Below are 20,798 nucleotides of genomic sequence, written 5' to 3'. Positions count from 1 at the left end.
CACATTTATGTATTTTGTATTTTTTTTTTTTTTTTGAGACAGAGTTTTGCTCTTGTTGCCCAGGCTGGAGTGCAGTGGCACAATCTCGGCTCACTGCAACCTCTGCCTCCTGGGTTCAAACGATTTTCCTGCCTCAGCCTCCCAAGTAGCTGAGATTACAGGTATGCGCCACCAGGCCTGGCTAATTTTGTATTTTTAGTAGAAACAGGGTTTCACCATGTTGGTCAGGCTGGTTTCAAATTCCTGACCTCAGGTGACCTACCAGCCTTGGCCTCCCAAGATGCTGGGATTACAGGCGTGAGCCACCACACCCAGCCATACTCATTTTTTCCTCAGTTAACCCATATTATTAAGAGACAAATTCTAATAACTCAGTTCTTCTTACTGCCTTTCGTACAGTAATTTCACAAACTTCTAACTTTCTTGTTCTATTGTCTGTTAGTTCAGTTTAAATACTACTGTTTACAAGGCTTTACTCAATATAATCCTCTCAATATTTTCTACAGAATTTAGGTTTCATTCCTGAAATATCCTCCAACTTCATTTTGTGCAACAGTGCCAATACATTTCAAATTGACAGGCTTCAATCCAAGAAAATAAATGGCAGGAAGTTGAAATATGACTAGAGAAACTGTTTGCCAAGACCATTCATTAAAATTCTTGAAAAATACGTGTGCATTTGATCATTAGTTTTCTTTACAATGAATCCAAGGTAAATTTCTTAGACATGGATGTTGTGATAAAGCATCTTCTCAGAATGGGAATTATTTAATTACTTCTCTTTAATGAAAGATGCTAAGTATCTCCATCACATTTTCTTCAGGCAAATATAGATGATATTCTTTGACATAAAAATGCTTAACATGACATAGCTACGGGTATAAATAATTACTTTTCATGTTTTGATCATATGAGTTAAAGTGCTATTACTTTCACCCTTTAAAAAAATCTCCTTAAATAGGTTGAATAAATAATATAGGCCCAGATTATGGGTGTTTTATGTTACAGGACCAAGGGGGCAATCTTAAGTCCAGAGAAACAGAACTCAATGCTTAGGAAGGTTAAAAGTGGTCAAATCAATAGCCATGAAAGACTGTTTTAAAATCGGTGAAAGGGTCTACATTAACTAATAACCTGATTTGAACATACGTATTTTAATTCTGAGATTAAATTATTAAATTTAATTATTGCAGATGCCTTTTCATTATAAAATTGAAACCAAATCTAAGTGGGAAGGATGGGGAAGAGAAGTGTTTGCCTTTCTAAATCGGGTATGTTTTAGCAGCAGGCTTCTCACAGATGTTCAAAAGGAGTGGAGACCATGAGCTCTACAGAGACACCACATCCACTGACTACATTATTGTGTGATCGGATTGAGTGGCAGGCTGAAACCAAACAAATGAATAATAGATAAATATATCAAGTGAGGAAAGCAGCAGAGGTCAGAAAGGTACAAGCCGCTAAATTAGAAAGACCAGTCCTGAATGCCTAAATTTGCCTCATTTGCTTTTCACTGTTGTTAATTATCATTTTTGTTTAGAATTTTTAGAATGCTTTAAATTGATAGAATAAATTAAAGATACCTTCATTGATCCTCACTGCCTTGCCCTGCTCCAGGAATACTGATGTACACTCAACATTCTATTAAAAATCAAGCTCAGTAAAATTGCAAGGGAATTTCAGTTTCCTTATATATAGCACATGTTGGGAGTAAAAAGGGAAAAATCTATTAGGTTATTTAATAAATTCATTTATTCATTAACAAGTATTTAATATGATTCATTTAATTCCATTAGCAAAAACTCTCTATATAGCATAAGCCATATAAGTCGTTTAATATAAAAAACATTGTCATTGTTTTGCTTAGAAACAGGGGCATGTGTTTTATTTTTATTTTGATATTATTATCAAATGAGATTGTAACATCTAGTAACATTTTAGAGTTAATTGTGCATATTTTTTTTTCTTTTTTAAAGAAGAGACCTATATTTTCTAACCTTTCTAATTCCTTCGGATCAGAAATCCTCAAAGAACCCTGAAAACACATCTGGGAATTTTGCTGATTTTATTCTTTGGGGAACTACATACAAATTTTCACTACAGTAAGAATCTCTCTCTTTTTAAAATAGTTCCCAATCTCTTACAGAATACTTTTTACTTTAACATTAATATATCCTTTAAAAATTTACTTGGTGAGCCAGGCACAGTGGCCCACACCTGTAATCTCAGCACTTTGGGAGGCTGAGGCTGGCGGATTGCTTGAGCTCAGGAGTTTGAGACAAGCCTGGGCAACATGGAGAAACCCTGTTTCTACAAAACAAAACAAAAATTAGCAGGGTGTGGCAGCACATGCTTGTAGTACCAGCTACTCGGGAGGCTTAGTTGGGAGGATGGCTCGAACCTGGGATGTTGAGGCTGCAGTGAGCAGCCTGCTGAAGTCTTGTCAAGAAGTACATTCAATGAGTATTTATTGAGCACTTTTTCTGTGCCCAACACATGGCAAGGCAACCAGAATATTAATATAACACCATCCAGCCTACACCTGAGAAGCTCACACCTTTATCCCAGTCCATTTGTGTGTATTGCCTATTCATATGCAGCATAGTCAGTCATTTATTTAACAGGTACCAATGACATAGTAACAAGTGCCAGGAACTGTGCTGGTTCAGAGTTAGAAATATAAATACAACATACATTCAGTCTTCTAGGTACTCACAGACTAGTAGGAGAAAGAGAGAGTACCTAATGGGAAATCTCTGTGAAAAATGCTTAAGGGAAATACATCAAAGGCACTGTAGTAGCAAAGGTAATTAGCTTTATCCAGGTGCATCAAGGAAATCCACACAACCATTGGGCATGCTCAAAGCAATACTGCTAGATACACAAAGAGAGTCCTTAGTTTTCTCATGTATATAGACAGCAAGCTTCTTACCAATATGTCTCAATTTATCCTAAAAGAATACCACGCTCAGACCACCACCAAATGGCTCTGTCTCTGGGCACGGTTACCACTTGGCATCTGCTGAGATGTACAGTGAGGGTATTAATTACTGCTCGCTGTGTGATAAATGTGGTTGATAGTTCTTGATGAGGTCAGTGTTTTGTGGATCTTGGATTAATGACTCCAATTTGACAGACAGCAAGCCACTAAATGGTTACCAGGTGGCAAAAATATTGTGTTACCCTAGGTAGAACCGAAGAGAGTAATATAGCTATGAAATCACCTCATAGTAGGATTAATTACTTGTAAGCATATTTTTCCAAATAATCTTAAGCAGAAAGTCTAAGTTTTTCTATTTTTATATTTAGAAAACAAACTAATTCTTAGTGGACTCAACCAAAAATCAAAGAAATTATTCAGACATAAAATACAGATTTAAAGTCACTGAAGCATGATGAAGGATATCAACTTCAGAGTGCACAGCAAATATCTAGCCTTTGGAAAGAAAGGGCCACATACATGTTAAGTAATTTAACTTTACCACTTACATATTTAACTGTTTAAATAGCCTAAGTACATTTATGATAAGACATTTAGCAGAAGACATTTCCTCAGCTTCTTCAGAAAAAATCCTACTAGTATATTATCTTAAAGTACTCACCAAAAAAAAAAAAAAATACAACAGAGATATATTTGTTTCCTGTCTAGTGAAAACAGCAAAAATCTCAACATATGGCTCTCTTACCTCCTCATGAGGCCATGAGCTTATTGAGGAGGAAGCCATTTGTCAATTATGCTTATACTCTCAGAACATAGCATAGGGTCCAATATATGGGTAAATAATTTTGTTGAGTCATTTAACAACCAAATCTGGACGATGGAGATTGAGCCTTGGCACACATTCCATCATGTGTATAGGACCTCCACCCCTCATGAGTCAATCTGCAGAGAGGCAAACAGTGCCAGTCACTGTGCACACAGACACAGTATGTGAGGGTACAGTAAAAACAGAAATACAGAATTTAGAGTCACTTTCCTTAAGGAGCTTAATATAGTTCTTGAAGAAGGGTGGTTGTTAGTGGGCATGACTATTTTGTGTCCCAAGGACTAGAACATTGCAACCCAAAATTCTTTGTACAAGTTTTAATCTAAAATGCAGGTCTAACCTATGGCCTCTCCACTTATGCACCTTGTATTGTCATAGAAAACTGCTAATGTAACAATAAAACCTGATGTTATTTGCCAGTGATGATTTTAAATGGTCAATCATGCCATTTCTTGGCTAAAAACCTCTACTAACTCTCCCATTTTTCTTAGGGTAAAAAGCCAATGCTCGCCTAAAATCTAACTTCCCTTTACTTTCCTTCTTCACCTTGAGCACTAGCAGTCCTCTTCCATCTCAGCTTTTGCATGGCGCTTCCTATTCTCTTGTCCCAGAACCTTCTTCTCACAACCTTTCTATGTTCAAGTCTTTGCCCACAGGTTACTTTCTCAACGAAGTTTAGCCCACATACCCTGTTTACGATTGGAACTGAAAGGAATTAGTATATGCTACCCAAAAATATGCCATAAGAATTATTTTGAACTGAAGACAATTGAGAAACAGCACATAGAGGAAGGGCTTTCTGTCCTACTTTTTTTTTTTTTTTTTTTTTGTCTAAAAGCAGGAAATACATTTTCCTTTGTAAAATGTCCTTCTTCCCCTTTTTCATGAAGAGAAGATTCATTACTAGAGATGGCACCAACTTGAGTCCACATAACAAACCTTACTAAATAACCCTTATCTCCTCCTTATATTTACCTTCTCACAATTTACTCCCCCTACTAGCCCACACCTTCCCTTTCCTTCATCTAGTCACTTCTCCACAATTTATCATCCTATGTTGAGATGTTATATAAGCCCCAAGTTTTAACCATCCCATTAAAGTTACTCCTCACTGAGCTCTCCCACATGTATGTGCATTGCATACATAAATAACCTGGGTTTTTTTTTCCTCCTGGCAATCTATCTTTTATCAGTTTAATTTGCAGACCCCAGGTCCTGAACCTAAAAGATGGTAAGGAAAAATATTTCTTTCCAACAGAACCTTTTTCACCTAGAGTTTTCTATCCTTCTTATTGTGTTTTATTTTCTGTACGGCACTTATAATGCTCTAACATACTTCATGTGTTTAGGATTGACTTCCCTCTTCCAGAAAGTAAGCTCCATGAGGACAGGGATTTTTATCTCTTTTGTTCTCTGATGTATCCTCAGTGCCTTAAGGAGTGCCTGACACATAGAATGCATTGTTGAATTAGTCAATAATCAATCAATTATAACCACCATGACCTTTGCACATGAGCACTACACATAAAGAGCTGATAGAGATTATTAGGAAATTAGAGTTTAATTTCTTATTGGGGTGGAAGAGTAACAAATCATGAAGAAGTCACACTAGAAATGTACCCTTCTCAACATTTATCATAAAATATTTTTATAAGCATCAAAAAAACTTATTAACAAGAAAAACAATTCGGAATAAATTGTTATTTTGAAAGCAATTTTAGAGTTTTTGGAATAATGGAAAATGCCTATGCACACTACAAGGAAATTTACCAGCAAACACAGACTTTGGTTCAGTCTTCATCATATATATTTTTAAAAGCATCAGGTAGCCTACCCTTACAGAGAAATTTGCTCTCCAATTATACACATATATAAATGATTGCTATGTGAATATGATGTTTCAGTCACTATCCCAACTCTATATTAAGTGACTAGCCCAAAGTCACCTACAAAATTGCTTTTATATACCCAACACATGGCTGTAAAACCCTATATGTGAGATATTTTCTTATTTTCATAATCAATTTTAATGTTTTATGATTATTTTTTAAAATGTCCTCCAGGAATAGAGCAAGTAACTTGAGAACCTTGATCAAAATAAATTCGATTAGAGCCAGAAGTGAACAATTTCCTGAGCAGCATGTCTAGATTGTTTCTAAACTATGATGAATTTCCACTATATATTGTTTTCTATTTTATTATATTCAAAATATGTTGAGCTTTTAGTGTGTAAAAATGGCTCAAGAATCTTGACTGTACAAGTAACCATAAAATAAGAACTGTTTTCTAATCTTGGAAACATAAATTGTTGAATCACTATTAAATCCAAATTTAATTTAGTTATATTTCATTTAAATCGATAACATTATTGATTGCATGATATATCATTACTCTATGTATCACTAAGAAAGAATAAAACACTGAAAATTGTAAATGTAAGATGTCTTTGATTCTAATACGCATTCCGATTTCAGAGATTTTAAAATGGGGAAAACGTCTATCTGAATCAATGAGTCATTTTCTAATATTTAGGGTATTTATAACCAGGGTAGCCAAATATTCTCCTTTTCTACCAAGAAAACAATAAGAACAAATTAATTATTTGAATAAGCTACTATTGAGGAAGGTTGTTCTTGTGACACTGAGGATTATCAAATACTATACTAGACTCAAGAAAAATTGTAAAATAGCCTATAGTGGAATAGCTCTGGCTAGCATGAGAAAAATAATTATTCGTGATCCACAAGTTCAAAATCTAGAAGAAATTAGCCTGGATCTAAAAGAAATAACATTATCATCATAGTCTTTTTGAAGGAAATGCTAAGGTGCAAAAAAGTATTATTGTCTTAGAAAAATATTGGTCCTTCTTAAATTCATGCACTAATTGATTTTCTCAAATTGTTTTTACTGGAATTCTGAATTTTCACACAATGACTTTGTCTAATAAAAATAGTCACCAATATGATCTTGTATATCTAATTCTTCTTCATGCTGTGCTTTAATGGGAAACTAGAAAATGTCATTCTAAAAATTGTTTTGACAAATAGTAGATAAATCATAAAACATAAGCAAGATAATGTTTAAAATGAGGAAGGATTTGGCAGCCAAATAGCCAAGGAAAAAAATAAAAGCGAAAACTACTAGTATAAAGATTGAAATCACTTATAAAATTTTAAGAATGTATGACTAGATCTTTCAAAATGGAAATTATAAACAATAAGAAATGTCATGCAATTTTATTTTATGCACAACCATGTAAGTAAATGTACCATTTAATAATGAAGATATGAAAAAGATAAACTGCTAACAAAATATAGTCTGCAATAACTTCTTTCAGAAATGGTGTATACATTTTAAAAGGAGAGAATCAATAGCTGTAAGATTAAAAAACATTATTCATCTCTTTCTCACAGCAGGGTGACTAAGCCTGCTGTCACCAAACATGTTACCTCACTGTTCCCTGATGGAGTTCCTTTAATAGGATGAGATGAATGCAAGTGTTTAACTATTTTAACATATCAACAACAGAAAATAAAAGCAGCTATTGAAACAAATTATCTGGCTTCCCACTCATTAAATATGTTTATGTCATTAGACAGAATGATACTGATGCCTAAAAGTTCTATACAGGTTGAGCATCCCTAATCTAGAAATCAAAACTCCAAAATGCTCTAAATTCTGAAACTGTTAAAGCACTGACATACTTAAAGGTCATACTCAAAGGAAAAGCTTACTGGAGCATTTCAGATTTCATACATTCGGATTAGAGATACTCAACAAATAAGTATATGCAAACACAGCAAACCTCATACTATTGCACTTTGCTTTATTGTGCTTTGCAAATATTGCATTTTTTAAAAAATTGAAAGTTTGTGGCAACCCTGTGTCTAGCAAGTCTACAGGTGCCATTTTTCCAACAGCATGTGCTCACTTCATGCATCTCTGTGTCACATTTTGGTAATCCTTACCATATTTCAAAATTTTCATTATTGTTATATCTGTTATGGTGATCTGTGACCAGAGATCTCTGATGTTACTATTGTAATTGCCTTGGGGCTCCAAGAATCATGCCTGTATAAGACAGCAAACTTAATAAATAAATGTTGTGTTCTGACGGATCCACTGACCTGACCGCCATTCCCCTATCTCTCCCCCTCTCCTCAGGATTTCCTTTCCCTAAAACACAACAATATTAAAACTAGACCAATGAATAATCCTAAAATGGCATCTAAATTTTCAAGTAAAAGGAAGAGTCATATGTCTCTCACTTTAAATAGAAAGCTAGAAATGGTTAAACTTAGTGAGAAAGGTGTGTCTAAAACTGAGATGGGCCAAAAGCCAGACCTCTTGTGTCAAACAGTTAACCAAGTTGTGAATGCAAAGGAAAAGTTCTGGAAGGAAATTAAAAGTGTCACTCCAGTGAACACACAAACGATAAGAAAGCAAAACAGCCCTATTGCTGATACGGAGAAAGTTGTGGTCTGGATAGAAGATCAAAATAATCACAACATTCCCTTAAGCTGAAACCTAATCCACAGCAAGGCCCTATTTCTCTTCAATTCTACAAAGGCTGAAAGAGGTGACAAAACTACAGAAAAAAAGTTTGAAGCTAGGAGAGTTTGGTTCATGAGGTTGAAGGAAAGAAACAATCTTCATTACATAAAAGTGCAAGGTGAAGCAGCAAGTGCTGATGTAGAAGCTGCAGCAAGTTATCCAGAAGATCTAGCTAAGATTATTGATAAAAGTGGCTACACTAAACAACAGATTTTCAATGCAGATGAAACAGCCATCTATTGGAAGAAGATGCCATCTAGGACTTTCATTACAAAGAGGAGAAATCAATACCTGGCTTCAAAGTTACAAAGAATAGGCTGACTCTCTTATTACATGCTAATGCAGCTAGTGACTTTAAGTTGAAGTCGATGCTCCTTTACCATTCCGAAAATACTAGGGCCCTTAAGGATTATGCTAAGTCTACTCTGCCTGTGCTCTGCAAATGGAACAATAAAGCCTGGATGACAGCACATCTGTTTATGGCATGATTTCCTGAATATTTAAGTGCTACTGTCAAGAGCTACTGCTTAGAGGAAAAAAAGATTCCTTTCAAAGTATTACTGCTCATTGACAATGCACTTGGTCACCCAAAAGCTCTGATGGAGATGTACAAAGATATTAATGTTGTTTTCATGCCTAATACAACATTCATTCTGTAGCCCATGAATCAAAGAATAATCTTAACTTTCAAGTCTTATTATTTAAGAAATACATTTTTTGTAAGACTAAAGCTGACATAGTGGATTCCTCTGAAGGATCTGGGCAAAGCAAACTGAAAACTTTCTGGAAAGGATTCACCATTCTAGTGTCATTAAGAACATTTGTGATTCATGGGAGAAGTGAAAATATCAACATTCACAGTTTAGAAGTGGATTCCAATCCTCACAGATGACTTTGAGAGGTTCAAGTCTTTAGTGGAGGAAGTGCACACGTGGCAGAAATAGCAAGAGAACTAGAATTATAAGTGGAGCCTAAATATATGACTGAATTACCACAATCTAATGAAAAAACTTTAAAAGATGGGGAATTGTTTCTTATAGATGAACAAAGAAAGTGGTTTGCTAGGATGGTATTTACTCTTAGTGCAGATACTGTGAACATTGGTGAAATGAAAACAGAGGATTTAGAATATTATGTAAATTTAGTTGATGAAGAAGTGGCAGAGTTTAAGAGGAATGGCTATAATTTTGAAAAGTTTTTTCTGTGGATAAAATGCTATCAAGGAACATCAAATACCACAGAGAAATCTTTGGTGAAAGGAAGAATCCAGCAACGTGGCAAACCTTATCGTCTCATTTTTTAAAATTGCTGCAGCCACCCCAGCCTTCAGCAGCCACCACACTGATCAGTCAGCAGCCATCAACATCCAGGCAAGACTCTACCAGTAAAAGAATTACAACTCACTAATTTCAGATGACTGTTAGCATTTCTTAACAATATTTTTAAATTAAGATGTGTACATTTAAAGAAATGCTATTGTACACTTAATAGACTACATTATAGTGTAAACATAACTTTTACATGTGCTTAGAAACCAAAAAATCAGTGTGACTCGCTTTATTGCAGTATTTGATTTATTGCAGTGGTCTGGAACTGAACCTGCAATATCTCCAAGGTATGCCTGTATTCAAAATACAAAATCCAAAACAATTCTCCTCTTCCAAGCATTTCAAATAAGGAGTACTCAACCTGTAGTGCCATTGGAATTGAGGTTTACCAATTAAAGGACAAACTAGATCCAATGTAAAATAAGTTCCTCAAACTCTTTGCTAATCTCCAACAGACAGAAGTGCTTAACGTTTGTTAGGGAGACTGTGTGTGCAATTTTAAATCTAAACTAAATCTAAACTGTAATTTCAAAAGTTTGCCCCTTCCTAATTATTATTTCTCCATATGTAGGAGATTGCCTAAATTATTTATAGGTCATGCTGCCTTAGAGATATCTATAGTAATGAAATAAATCCTCAGAATCCAAGAAACCTTTGTCTGGTACACAAGACGCCTTAGTAGTCTATACCTTTTTTTAATTCTCCAAACTGCCCATAAGTCAATGAGTTTGGAAACCAAAAAATCAGTGTGACTTGCTTAGGAAAAGAATCACTTAGGAAAAAAATCACTTGAAAAAAGAGCATTGATCCTCTAAATGAACCAATTTCAAATTTCTATAGTTTTGGCCCTGACATATCCTTAAGTCAAAATGGAAAAGAAATCTGATTCCCTATTCTTTAATTCACTTTCCTTTTTTTCCAGCCTGTTCCACTTTTTCCTTGGGCTCCCTTTTCCCAAAGCTCCCAATTTTCTCACCTAGTCTTTATTCACAGACAATGACTTAATCAACTTTTGTGGGATTAAGGACCTAACAAATTATTTCTTTTAGTACCATTTACATTTCCTAAGTGGTACACCTAGAGAAGGATTAATAAGGTATCACCGAAAGCTTCTGGAGATGGTTTCTAGATGCCCCTTGGTGCAAAGAATTAAGCCTATACTTCTATACTAAGTTGAAGTATATTTCATACTTCACATGTCACAATTATATTTCCCTCCAGCTTTCATTCTACCTATTATTAAGAATTTTACATGGAAACATATAGGATTTTCCAGGATAAAGAAAATCTTTTACAAAGAGTTTCATGAAACTCACTTTGTTCCATACAAAAGGAGTTTTGGTTATAGACCAATATCCAACTCTAGTGAGTAGTTCTACAGTTTTTCAAGCAATTATGATAGAATGTTTTCATTCTCTCTAGTCAGTGTGAGCTCCTAAGATTAAATTCACAGCTTTTCATCAAGGCTGATGTAACTTTCTTACTATCATATCCTTTAAAATAAGGACTGTAGCCTGAGGGTACCTAAGAACATGTGGCAGAAGGCAAAAACAGAAGGTTTTTACAGTTTAGAATATTTTAAACTCAGAATATTGACTATATATTTTTGGTCAGAATTTTTCTTTTAAGTAGCAGTAATATGCCCATTTTGTAGCCACAGTTTTAAATTTTCAGTCTTCACCCCTCCAAAACAAAACAAAACACAAAACAGAACAACAAGTGAGAAGGAGGAGGGGGAAAGAGAGAAGGAGGTGGTGTGGGGTGGAGAGGAGATGATGCCCCCTTCTGTCATACAACAAAATCCATTTCGAATATCGAAACTTGCCAAGATCAAAACTGGCCAAAACAACAAACTCCACTGTTGAAATTGACAGTACGGTATAAGACAATAACCCAGGTTTCTCAATTGAAATAACTTTGCCACAAATTTCATCTCAACGTCTTTAATATCATGGTTCCCAGCCCTTCATGCTCATTAGTATCCCCTGGGAAGATTTAAAGCTGTACTGATGCCCTAAAACCATTCTCCTGATTCTGATGTGGTTGGTCTAGGGTGCAGCCTGGGCATCAGGAGATTTAAAAGCTCCCAGGGAATTGTATGTGCAGGTACTCAGTGTTTATCAAAAGACAGAAGACACAGCTATTCCAGACACCTGTTTGAACTGATTGATGGCAACCCAGCTTCATTAGATGTCTACCTAGTGTTGAATCTTTGTAGCATCCCCCACATTTGTTCCGTGAAACAGGGACAATAGGAGATCACAGTCTTACATAGCTCTCTGACCCATTAATCAACGGGTTGTTCCTCTCTGGTTCTCTCTGTGGGTTCTGACTCATGCTGCAGTAGAGAAAAAAGACAAACAGCCTAGCCAATAAACGACCGCTGCTACGCGATCTCCTTTGACTACAGTAAAGGGCCAGAAACTGCCTTTGGGAGTGCAGAGACAGTGTAGGAACGATGCTGCCATCTGGCTGCCTTCCTGGGCATCTCTTTAAAAAAAAAAAAAAAAAAAAAGTGAGTTACTAATCATACTCTCCTACATTTACACATTAGATACAGGCTTCACTATTCCTTTGCAGTGAGGACTCCTCAGTGACAGGCAGAACCCAAAGGGAGAGCAAAGCAGCCCAAGGGGAGCAGAGCAACCCAAAGGGAAAGCAGAGTAGGCCAAGTAGAACAAATGCTCGCCTTAAACTTTTTTTTCCTTTTTGAGACAGGGTCTCACTCTGTTGCCTAGGGTGGAATGCAGTGGCGCCATCTTGGCTCACTGCAGCCTCAACCTCCCGGGCCCAACGGATTCTCCTACCTCAGCCTTCTGAGTAGCTTGGGACAGCCGTGCACCACCACGCCCAGCTAATTTTTTGTTTGTTTGTTTTTGTACAGACAGGGTTTCAGCATGCTGCCCAGGCTGGTCTTGAACTCCTGGGCTCAAGTGATCCACCTGACTCAGCCTCCCAAAGTGCTGGGATTAAAGGGGTGAGCCACTGTACCTGGCAACACCTTTAAAAATTTCTTCACCCACCTATCCACCTTTAAAGTTGTTCTTTGAGGGCTTTCAGGAATGAGGTTAATCCAAATAGGATAAGGCAGTTTTGTTCCCAGGAAGTATTTAACACACTGGTTCTCAACTTTCCTACACATTAGAATCACCTCGGGGAGGTTTGTGAAAATGCAGATTGCTGGTCTCCACTCCCATCCAATTCAGTAGGTCCGAGCTGAAGTCTGAGAATTTGCAATTGTAACAACCTCCCAGATGACACTGCTGGTCTGGGAAATCACACTTTGAAAACCACTGAACAAATTGTCAAAAAATAATTGCTGACAGTCAGTAATGTAATAAATCCATTAGCCCCCTCCAGCCAAGGAGGGAAGACTGGGTAAAGAAGCCATAGACGGTGGCAGTGACCGGGGTCAAAAGATGTTGCCACTATGGGGTTGTTCCTAGGTATCTATGGAGTAGCATACCAAAAAGGCCAGGTAAGAAGAAGTGGTATGGATGAGGATTAGACGAAAAATGCCTCTTCATTGTTTTGCCTGGGCTCCTCAGAGACTTGTGGGAAATATTGCATCGTCTCTTAACTAAATATTAAATCATCCCTGTGCATCTAATTTAGTGGGGGGCAGACCTGTTTCACAAGCCAAAATAACAGGCTGCAATAACTGAGGATTTTATATATACCCTGACCAAAGAAGTTTGCATTCTCATAGCACCATCTAGTGGAAATTTGGGGATTTTTGTTTTACATCGAACAGCCTAAAATGGAGATAGTTTATGTTATTATGACAGGGAGAGAAGACTGCACGATTTGCTAATTGAGGTGCAATACAGACAAGTAAACAAAAACAGGAAAAATGTGGCTTATGTGAAAGACATTTTTTAACCATATACAACATGTTCTATAAAAACAGAGCAAAGCCGTTAGCTGAGGAACTTGTGTGCACAAAGAAATATGTACAAATAGCTTTTCCAGAACAGTCTAGTAAAAATATGTAGTAAAAGTGGGAAGATTATGTTATATAGAAATATATGTTTATGTGCTGTGTTTATATGCCACAGCCTCAAACCTTCTTATAACTTATTAACAATTATATGAAAATATAGGAACAAAGCTCATGTTCTGTATGAATACAACAGGATTCAAATAACCACATACATTACAAAGAGTTGAATAAATTGAATTCTCTATTTTCTACTGTATAGTCAAGGAAGAGACAGAGTAAGGAGGAAAACAGTTGTCAAATCTGCTGGTGGTTCTGAGAAGGGATCAGAGAGGTAAAAATGCAAGGTGTTAAAAATCTGTTTTACTGGCCCACAAAATGTTGTTTGCAAAACTCTGTTCTAGATGAGCTGATAGTTTAAGGGTAACTGTTTCACTAAATGGTTTGAACTCAATGGATATTAATCAGAAGCAATTTTCTTTTTCTAATCATATGATTGGTCAACTTCTGCTTTCTTGCCCCTGAATGATATCTCAGGCAGATTCCATTGATAATTGATCATTGTCATAGTTCATATAAATCATGTAATTTTACCTAGCTCAGCTTGTAAAACAGGCGCCCCAAAGGGGTCTGGCCTGCCCCTCCTCCCGACTCCAAAACCATGAAGCCAATCTGGTTGCACAAAACCTCTTCTTTCTCCACATCAAGATCTAGCTTCTTTAATGACTTGAGGTGGGATCAGAGGAGAAGAAACAAAATAGTCTCTTCACCCAATTCTTTTTGTTGCAGAATTTTCTGTTGGGTATTGCTGCTCATCTAGAAAACACCAGCTACCAATAGATGTCCTCTCTGTGCCGAAATACTGCTTACCTCAGGGGATATTGGGTAAGTTCAGAAGGCCCTGAAGAGTCTCCCTGACATGGTAAATCCAACTCTAGCCAGTCTTTCCTACCCCTTTACAGCTTCCCCCATTAACCTCTTCCCACTGGAGTATCTACAGCCTGTAAATAGGACTCAGGTGGAAGTACTGCTAAGATGACTCAGGTTCAGCTACTTTTCCCCATATCCACGCAGCCTTTGGGAGATTTGTACATTCTTGTCACTCCAAAGCCAGAATCTTCTCTGTTCCATGGCAACCACCTTCTTTGTTTCTCTCCACAGGCTGCTTCTCCCTGACTCAGCGTCTGATTAAGGAAATAGCCAGTTGGGAAATAAGATACTGATTCCCTTCTTTTAGTGCCACCCACAATCTCATAAGGGAGGAGTATGAGGCTTCTCACCCCATAAGCACTTCATGTGGAGGACTTTGGGCTCCTTTCTCCTCCCAATTGTCCCTCTATAGCTTCCCTTCTGCTAGCCCAAATCTGCCTAGTTGTATTAATCATGATCCAAGAGAGAAAAAAGAAACCTTGGATTGATGGCAGCAGAAAGCCACTGCCACCTTCACCTGGAGGGACCCACAGGTCCAGGGTCCAGGGCCCAGGGCTACTTGGTGGAAGCTAGGCCACAGGTAGGCCTGAGTGGTGGGGATGGGAACTGGGGCTGCAGAGAGGATGGAGTTACCATCATCTGAGGCATAGTGAGAGTGGTAGAAATACCCTTCCTTTTGTGTGCTCTGCTGTCCCAATAATGTCTCCACACTTGGCCCAGAGCAACAGGAAGCCAACTGACTTGGACAACCTGAAATACTAAAATATACCTAAAATACACCCTGCCACATATCACGTGGGGGGCGGGGCGGGGCAAACTCTTCAGGTGTATTTTAGGTTGTATTTAGGTGAAATAATTTAAGTTGTGTAATTTCACCCAAATACAACCTAAAATACACCTGAAGAGTTCAGCTCCCCTGTGATACATGGCAGGGCAGAAGTTTGAGGAAGGGATTGAGACTCAACAGGCCTAGTATGGCACTCCAGTCTTTGAGAGTGGAAAAACTGGATTGGCCAATTCATACTCAAAACTCTTCTCTCTTGTACCCAGATCACCAATTTCCTTGAATCTTTATCTAAGCTTTGGAGTGAAATGAAAGGTCCCTAAAATCACATAACACTTGTTTACTTTCATCTTTGTGTTCTTGTCACTATTTTCAGGTCAAGAGAAAAAGCTTCTCTCAAGATCTTATCATGTGAGGTTAAATGCAGGGTCTCCCAATGTGCTGTTCAATTGTGGTATAAAAATAACAAGCAATTGCCTTGATACTACACTGCTTGGTCCCAAACTGTATGTCAAATATTTTTATAAATATTATTAATTTTACCCAGTCCATTATTTCCTATGCCAAGTGAGATTTCAAGATATCCAGGAATTTAAATTTACATTTAAGAAAGTATATATAATGCTATGGAGAACCTCTGAATATATTATATTTCAGTACCTTCACAACTAAGATTTTATTAAATTGTGATTCTACTTATATCAAAAATCCCTGTACTAATAAATCTTCATTGAATTTTATATGTGCTCAGCACTATGCTTTGAGAGAGAGATAAGTATCTTAGGCTGGGTTCCCCAGAGGCAGACTCTGAGATGAAGATTCATGAGCAAGTGATTAAGAAGGTGCTCTCAAGAGAAATAAGTAAGGGAGTAGGGAAAGCAGAATAGGAAGGCAAAACCAAGCAATAGTGTGTTTCTGACCAAGTCCCATAGAGGATAGCCTCAGCCTGGTCCTAAAGGGAACTCCAAGTATCCTGTAGGAAATTTGTCCCAACTGGAAGCAAAGGAACTGGGCTCTCATGCTCCAAAACACATTATTCATTAGATAAGGAGCCTGGGTTCTTATCTAATGAATATGTTAATTTCATTTGCTTGGTTGGGCCAGCAAAGAATGTTCACAGGTGCTGGCCATTGGAAGAAAAACCATGCCAAGGCTGCAGGAGGGGCAAAGCAGATGTGCAAAGAGATTGTGATATTGTTATATAATAAGGAAAATATATATTTGGTCTTTGTCCCCAGTTCCTGGCATAGAGTTTCTAAAACTCTTGGAATTTCCTGAGTGATAGGTGTGACAGAAGAGTCCTTTATTATTCATAATAAGCCTCTTTCTATCACACCTGAGTTTATGCTAACAAGGCAACTCTTGATAGGTCCCTAGATAGCTTCTGCATGGAAGCTGACAGTGAGGAACCTCTCATGTGATATTGGCCCCACCCCCTGACCTCTGGGAGGGGATTAGGGGCTGGAGACTCAGTGATGTCTATGTAATACAACAATGCAAGCTCCATAAAAACACTGAACATGGGGTTCAGAGAGCTTCTAGGTTGGTGAAGACATCAAGGTGCTGGAGGATGGCATGCCCAGAGAGGACGTGGAAGTGCTGCACCCCTCCCTTCCCATACCTTGCCCAGTGCACCTTTTCCATTTGGCTGTTCATCTGTATCCTTTATAATATACCTTATAATACAGCAGTAAGAGTAAGAAAAGAGCTTCTCTGAGTTCTGTGGGCCATTTTAGCAAATATATTGACCCTGAAAAGGGGTCATGACAACACCTGACTTATAGCTGGTCATCAGAAGTATGGTAGGCCCTGGACTTGCAACTGGCATCTGAAGTGGGGGTTGTGGGAATCAGCTCTTCAACTGTGGGGTCTGCACTAATTCTGGGTAGTTAATGTCAGAATCAGGTTAAACTGTAGGACAACCAGTTGGTGTGCAGAGAGTTGGAAACTTGATGTTGGGGGAAAGAGTCCCACACATTTGGTGTCAGAAGTTGTTAGTAAAAACTAGATCATAGTATTAGTAGAGTAATAAGGAAATCTGGGTGGAGCAACAACAGTCTCTACTTCAATCAGCATAAAACTTGTCTTCTTTCCATTGGTATATTGCCATCTAGGTGACTACTGAAAAGAACTGGATACCAATATTCGACCAAGTATATAACTAAGTGCAAAGTTATGGCACAGCTGAAGCACACTATCACAGAAAAAAAAAGCAGTGGTGACCAAACTTTGCTGCCCATTGAAATCATCTGAGAATCTTTAAAATATACTGATGCCTAGATTCCACTGCTCAGCACTCTGACCTATTTCAAGTGGAGTGCAACATGGGCAAATTTTGTAAAGCCACCCCCCCACTCTCCAGGTGATTCTAATCTGCAGGGAAGTTTTGGTAGAACCAATTTAAGGCAAGAGAAATCAATGTGAATTGCATCCCTGGTAAGAGACATCAGGTAGGAGGTGAGGCTTGAACTGGGTTTTGAAAGATGGTAAGAATTAGGGTATAAATAAAAGGGGCCAACGCTACTGTCAAAAGATACCACATAAGTTCTAAGGCAAAAATTAGCACGACTAATAAAGAATCAACTAGAACATTTCTTGCTGAGACTACTGGAAAATAAGGTTTTAAAGATAAAGTGCATCCCTATTACAGTGGATTCACAAGTGAAGCAATTTTCTTTGAATTTGACCCAGTTGGCAACCATTATATTTTTTTTTTAGTAGAGAACTAAAATGATAAAAGTGATGTTTAAAGAAAAGTATTCTATTAACAATACAGAAGATAGATTCAAATTGTAAGAGACTTGAGTCAAGGAGGTCTGAGGAGAGGACATTTCGGTAACTCTTTTGATATGGGACTAGAGCAGTAGCTGTCAGAATTGAAAGGAAGAGACAAATAGGAAAAGGTATTTTAAAGGAAAGAGAGGTCTTGAATCTTGGATACAGAATCCACAAAGAGAAAGAAATGAAAGAAAAGTCAAAACTTAGTAGATGATGCATTAACTGATGTGTTTCTTTTCATGCACATTAACCCCCGGACCTACCTTCGATTGGGCTGGGAGACATGATGCAGGCATTAACCCATTTGGGATGTCAAAAAGGGATAGTAGTAAAAAGATCTCAAATCCTTTGCTTTAAATAAGTTAATAAAAATAAAGCTACATTGTGCATATAACACAGAATATTTTCCAAAAAAAAAAATTAAGAAACCTTTTTGTTTTCTCCATTCTAGCTTGCTTGCTTCCTTTTCTGCCACCGCCCTCCCCCACACCCCCCACCATGCAAATCCCCCTGGGAAAGAAGAAAGTTGGACAGGAACAAGATAGGTTAGACACTTACAGTAAGTACTTTGAACACTATCCACTCCTATTTCTCTGTCTCCTCCACATCCCTAAACCTTGTGGATCAAAAGGAGCCAGAAGAATGTACCACCCTCCCTTATCCCTAGAGATTCAAGGATAGAGTCATGAATGGACTCCTTTCTGTCCACCACATGGCATTGAGGTTAGTGCTATCTCAGACACACAGATCTTAATGATGGTTCTATATCTTGACAGCCCTGGAGAGAGGTCCTTGAGCAACAGAAGTTATTTGAGATATTTTAGAGAGTTTGTAGCCCAAAGATCTGTCGGAGTTGGTGATGAATTATCTCAGCAAAAAGTGATATTGGACCCTCAGTTTCCACACTGTGATGGGAGCAAAGACATCTTAGCAAAAAGAATTTGTGCTAACAATCAAGGATAATGGCAGGATAACAATATCTCAGCTGACAACAGCATGAGACAGATCAAGACCAAGATGAGGACCCCTCCTCATCAACACTGTTCCTCTGCAGTAGAGAGAAAGGGCACCAAATATTAAGCATATTATATTAGTGATAACTAAATATATGCATATGTATATATAGCTACATTTTATAGTTATTACATGTAATTTATATTTAATATAAATGTTAAACATAAGTGAGAGATCACTAAATTTGATTGAATATAATAATTATGAAATCATTAAAGTGATTGAATTTTTCTAGATATGATTGGGGTTATTTTGCTACTATTAGAAATGATGCATAAGGTAAAAATATAATTATATTTCATTATAGAAAAATAAAGAATGTTACATTTTATGCATCTGAATTTGTACTCTTTGAAAATAGTGTAGCCTTCACAAGGTTTTAAGGTAATATGACAGAGAGAATGATGGTGCCAGATGATTAGTCTGACTCGGCACAAGTCGAGAACTTGACAGTTTGAAGTAACAAGACAGGTGGTAGAAACTATACTTTAGGTTGATGGAATCAAAACTAGAGTCAGACTAGAGCATAAAGCCAAAAGCTATAGATTGATTCAGTTGTCATTAGCATGAAGCTGATCATTTAAGCCAAGATGAATGTACAAAGAAAAGCAAATAGGAATGAGCTCTAAGTGGTGCCTAAAGGACACAAAAGTGAGCTTGATATTTTAATTTTTAATGGAATTTTTCAAGCATATAAGAGGGCATGACATAAAATGTATATGGTTTTTCCTGCATCTTTTCCATTATTTGATTAAACTAAGTCATAACAATTTCATAGGCCTATATTTTCTAATCTGTTTAATAGATTTAACCTACTTGTGTAGGTTTGTGGAATATAAAAGATGTCTCACAAATTAAAAGACATTGCTGAAATACATGAGAAAGGCTAAAAGATAAACTTAAGAAAATCTCCCAGAATAAAGAGCAAAAAAGCAAAAACACAAAAACCCAAAAGGTAAAATATGAGTTAAGAGATATTTTTTAAAAATCCTAAGAGGCCCAATATCCAAATAATGGAAAAGAAATAGAGAAATGAAAATTATCAAAGAAATAGTAAAATTTCCAGAGCTGATTCTGCAGTGAATATTTACATATTCATTGTATAGTAATCTGTTTATTAATTTTTATTTCACAGAATCAACTCATCAACAAGTCACAGAAGGCATAATTTTAATTCTGAAAGAGAATATAAATCCTATGAGCCCTGGCAATGTCCACATTGAAATTTATGACAATAGTTTGGGAGGTGGAAGCAGAGAAAGAGACCTGATGGGCGTGTGGGAACCCTACTATTAAATAGCACAGAGGGAAGAGGAACTGTTTTAAGGTGAAAGACTACAGAATAAAGTTTTGAGAATATTATTTAAAGTCCTGATGGTAACCGATAGAAAACCTAGAAATAAGATTGTATCTGACTAAATATGGGACAAGTCAGGAGGAGTGTAGAGTAATATTGTGTGACTGAGCACAATCCCCACATTTGGTAGCCCCTGAGATGGACTCCCGTGATCCCTGACCCGAGCTATTGTAACACTTTGTAATCCCATCCGTTTGACCATAGACCAGACTTACTGACTTCTAACAAATAGGATACAACAGAAGTGTTGAGATGTCACTTCCCAGATTAGTTTACGCAGAAACTTTGGCTTTATCTGAGGCACCCACTCTATTGCTCTCCGGATTGCTCCAAGGGAAGACAGCTG

At 37.2% G+C, this 20,798-nt stretch overlaps 1 long non-coding RNA gene across 3 annotated transcripts; it reads left to right on the top strand.

Annotated features, from left to right (window-relative positions):
• Window positions 1-12,587: 12,587 nt before the first annotated feature.
• EPCART (ERG-positive prostate cancer associated androgen responsive transcript) lies at window positions 12,588-20,457 on the top strand. Of its 3 annotated transcripts, none has more exons than XR_001739226.1 (4): window positions 12,588-12,626; window positions 14,379-14,474; window positions 18,533-18,640; window positions 18,858-19,016. It is a non-coding gene; the product is annotated as an ERG-positive prostate cancer associated androgen responsive transcript (long non-coding RNA). The 3 variants fall into 3 exon arrangements; XR_923634.3 differs by lacking the exon at window positions 18,858-19,016 and adding an exon at window positions 20,231-20,457 and having other exon boundaries at window positions 12,613-13,127; XR_001739225.1 differs by having other exon boundaries at window positions 12,613-13,127.
• Window positions 20,458-20,798: the final 341 nt, after the last annotated feature.

Source organism: Homo sapiens, chromosome 2 (assembly GCF_000001405.40).
Source record: "Homo sapiens chromosome 2, GRCh38.p14 Primary Assembly".
NCBI classification, from domain to species: domain Eukaryota; kingdom Metazoa; phylum Chordata; class Mammalia; order Primates; family Hominidae; genus Homo; species Homo sapiens.
Note: the sequence above shows the minus strand (reverse complement) of the source record. Positions and strands in the feature narration are given on the sequence as shown.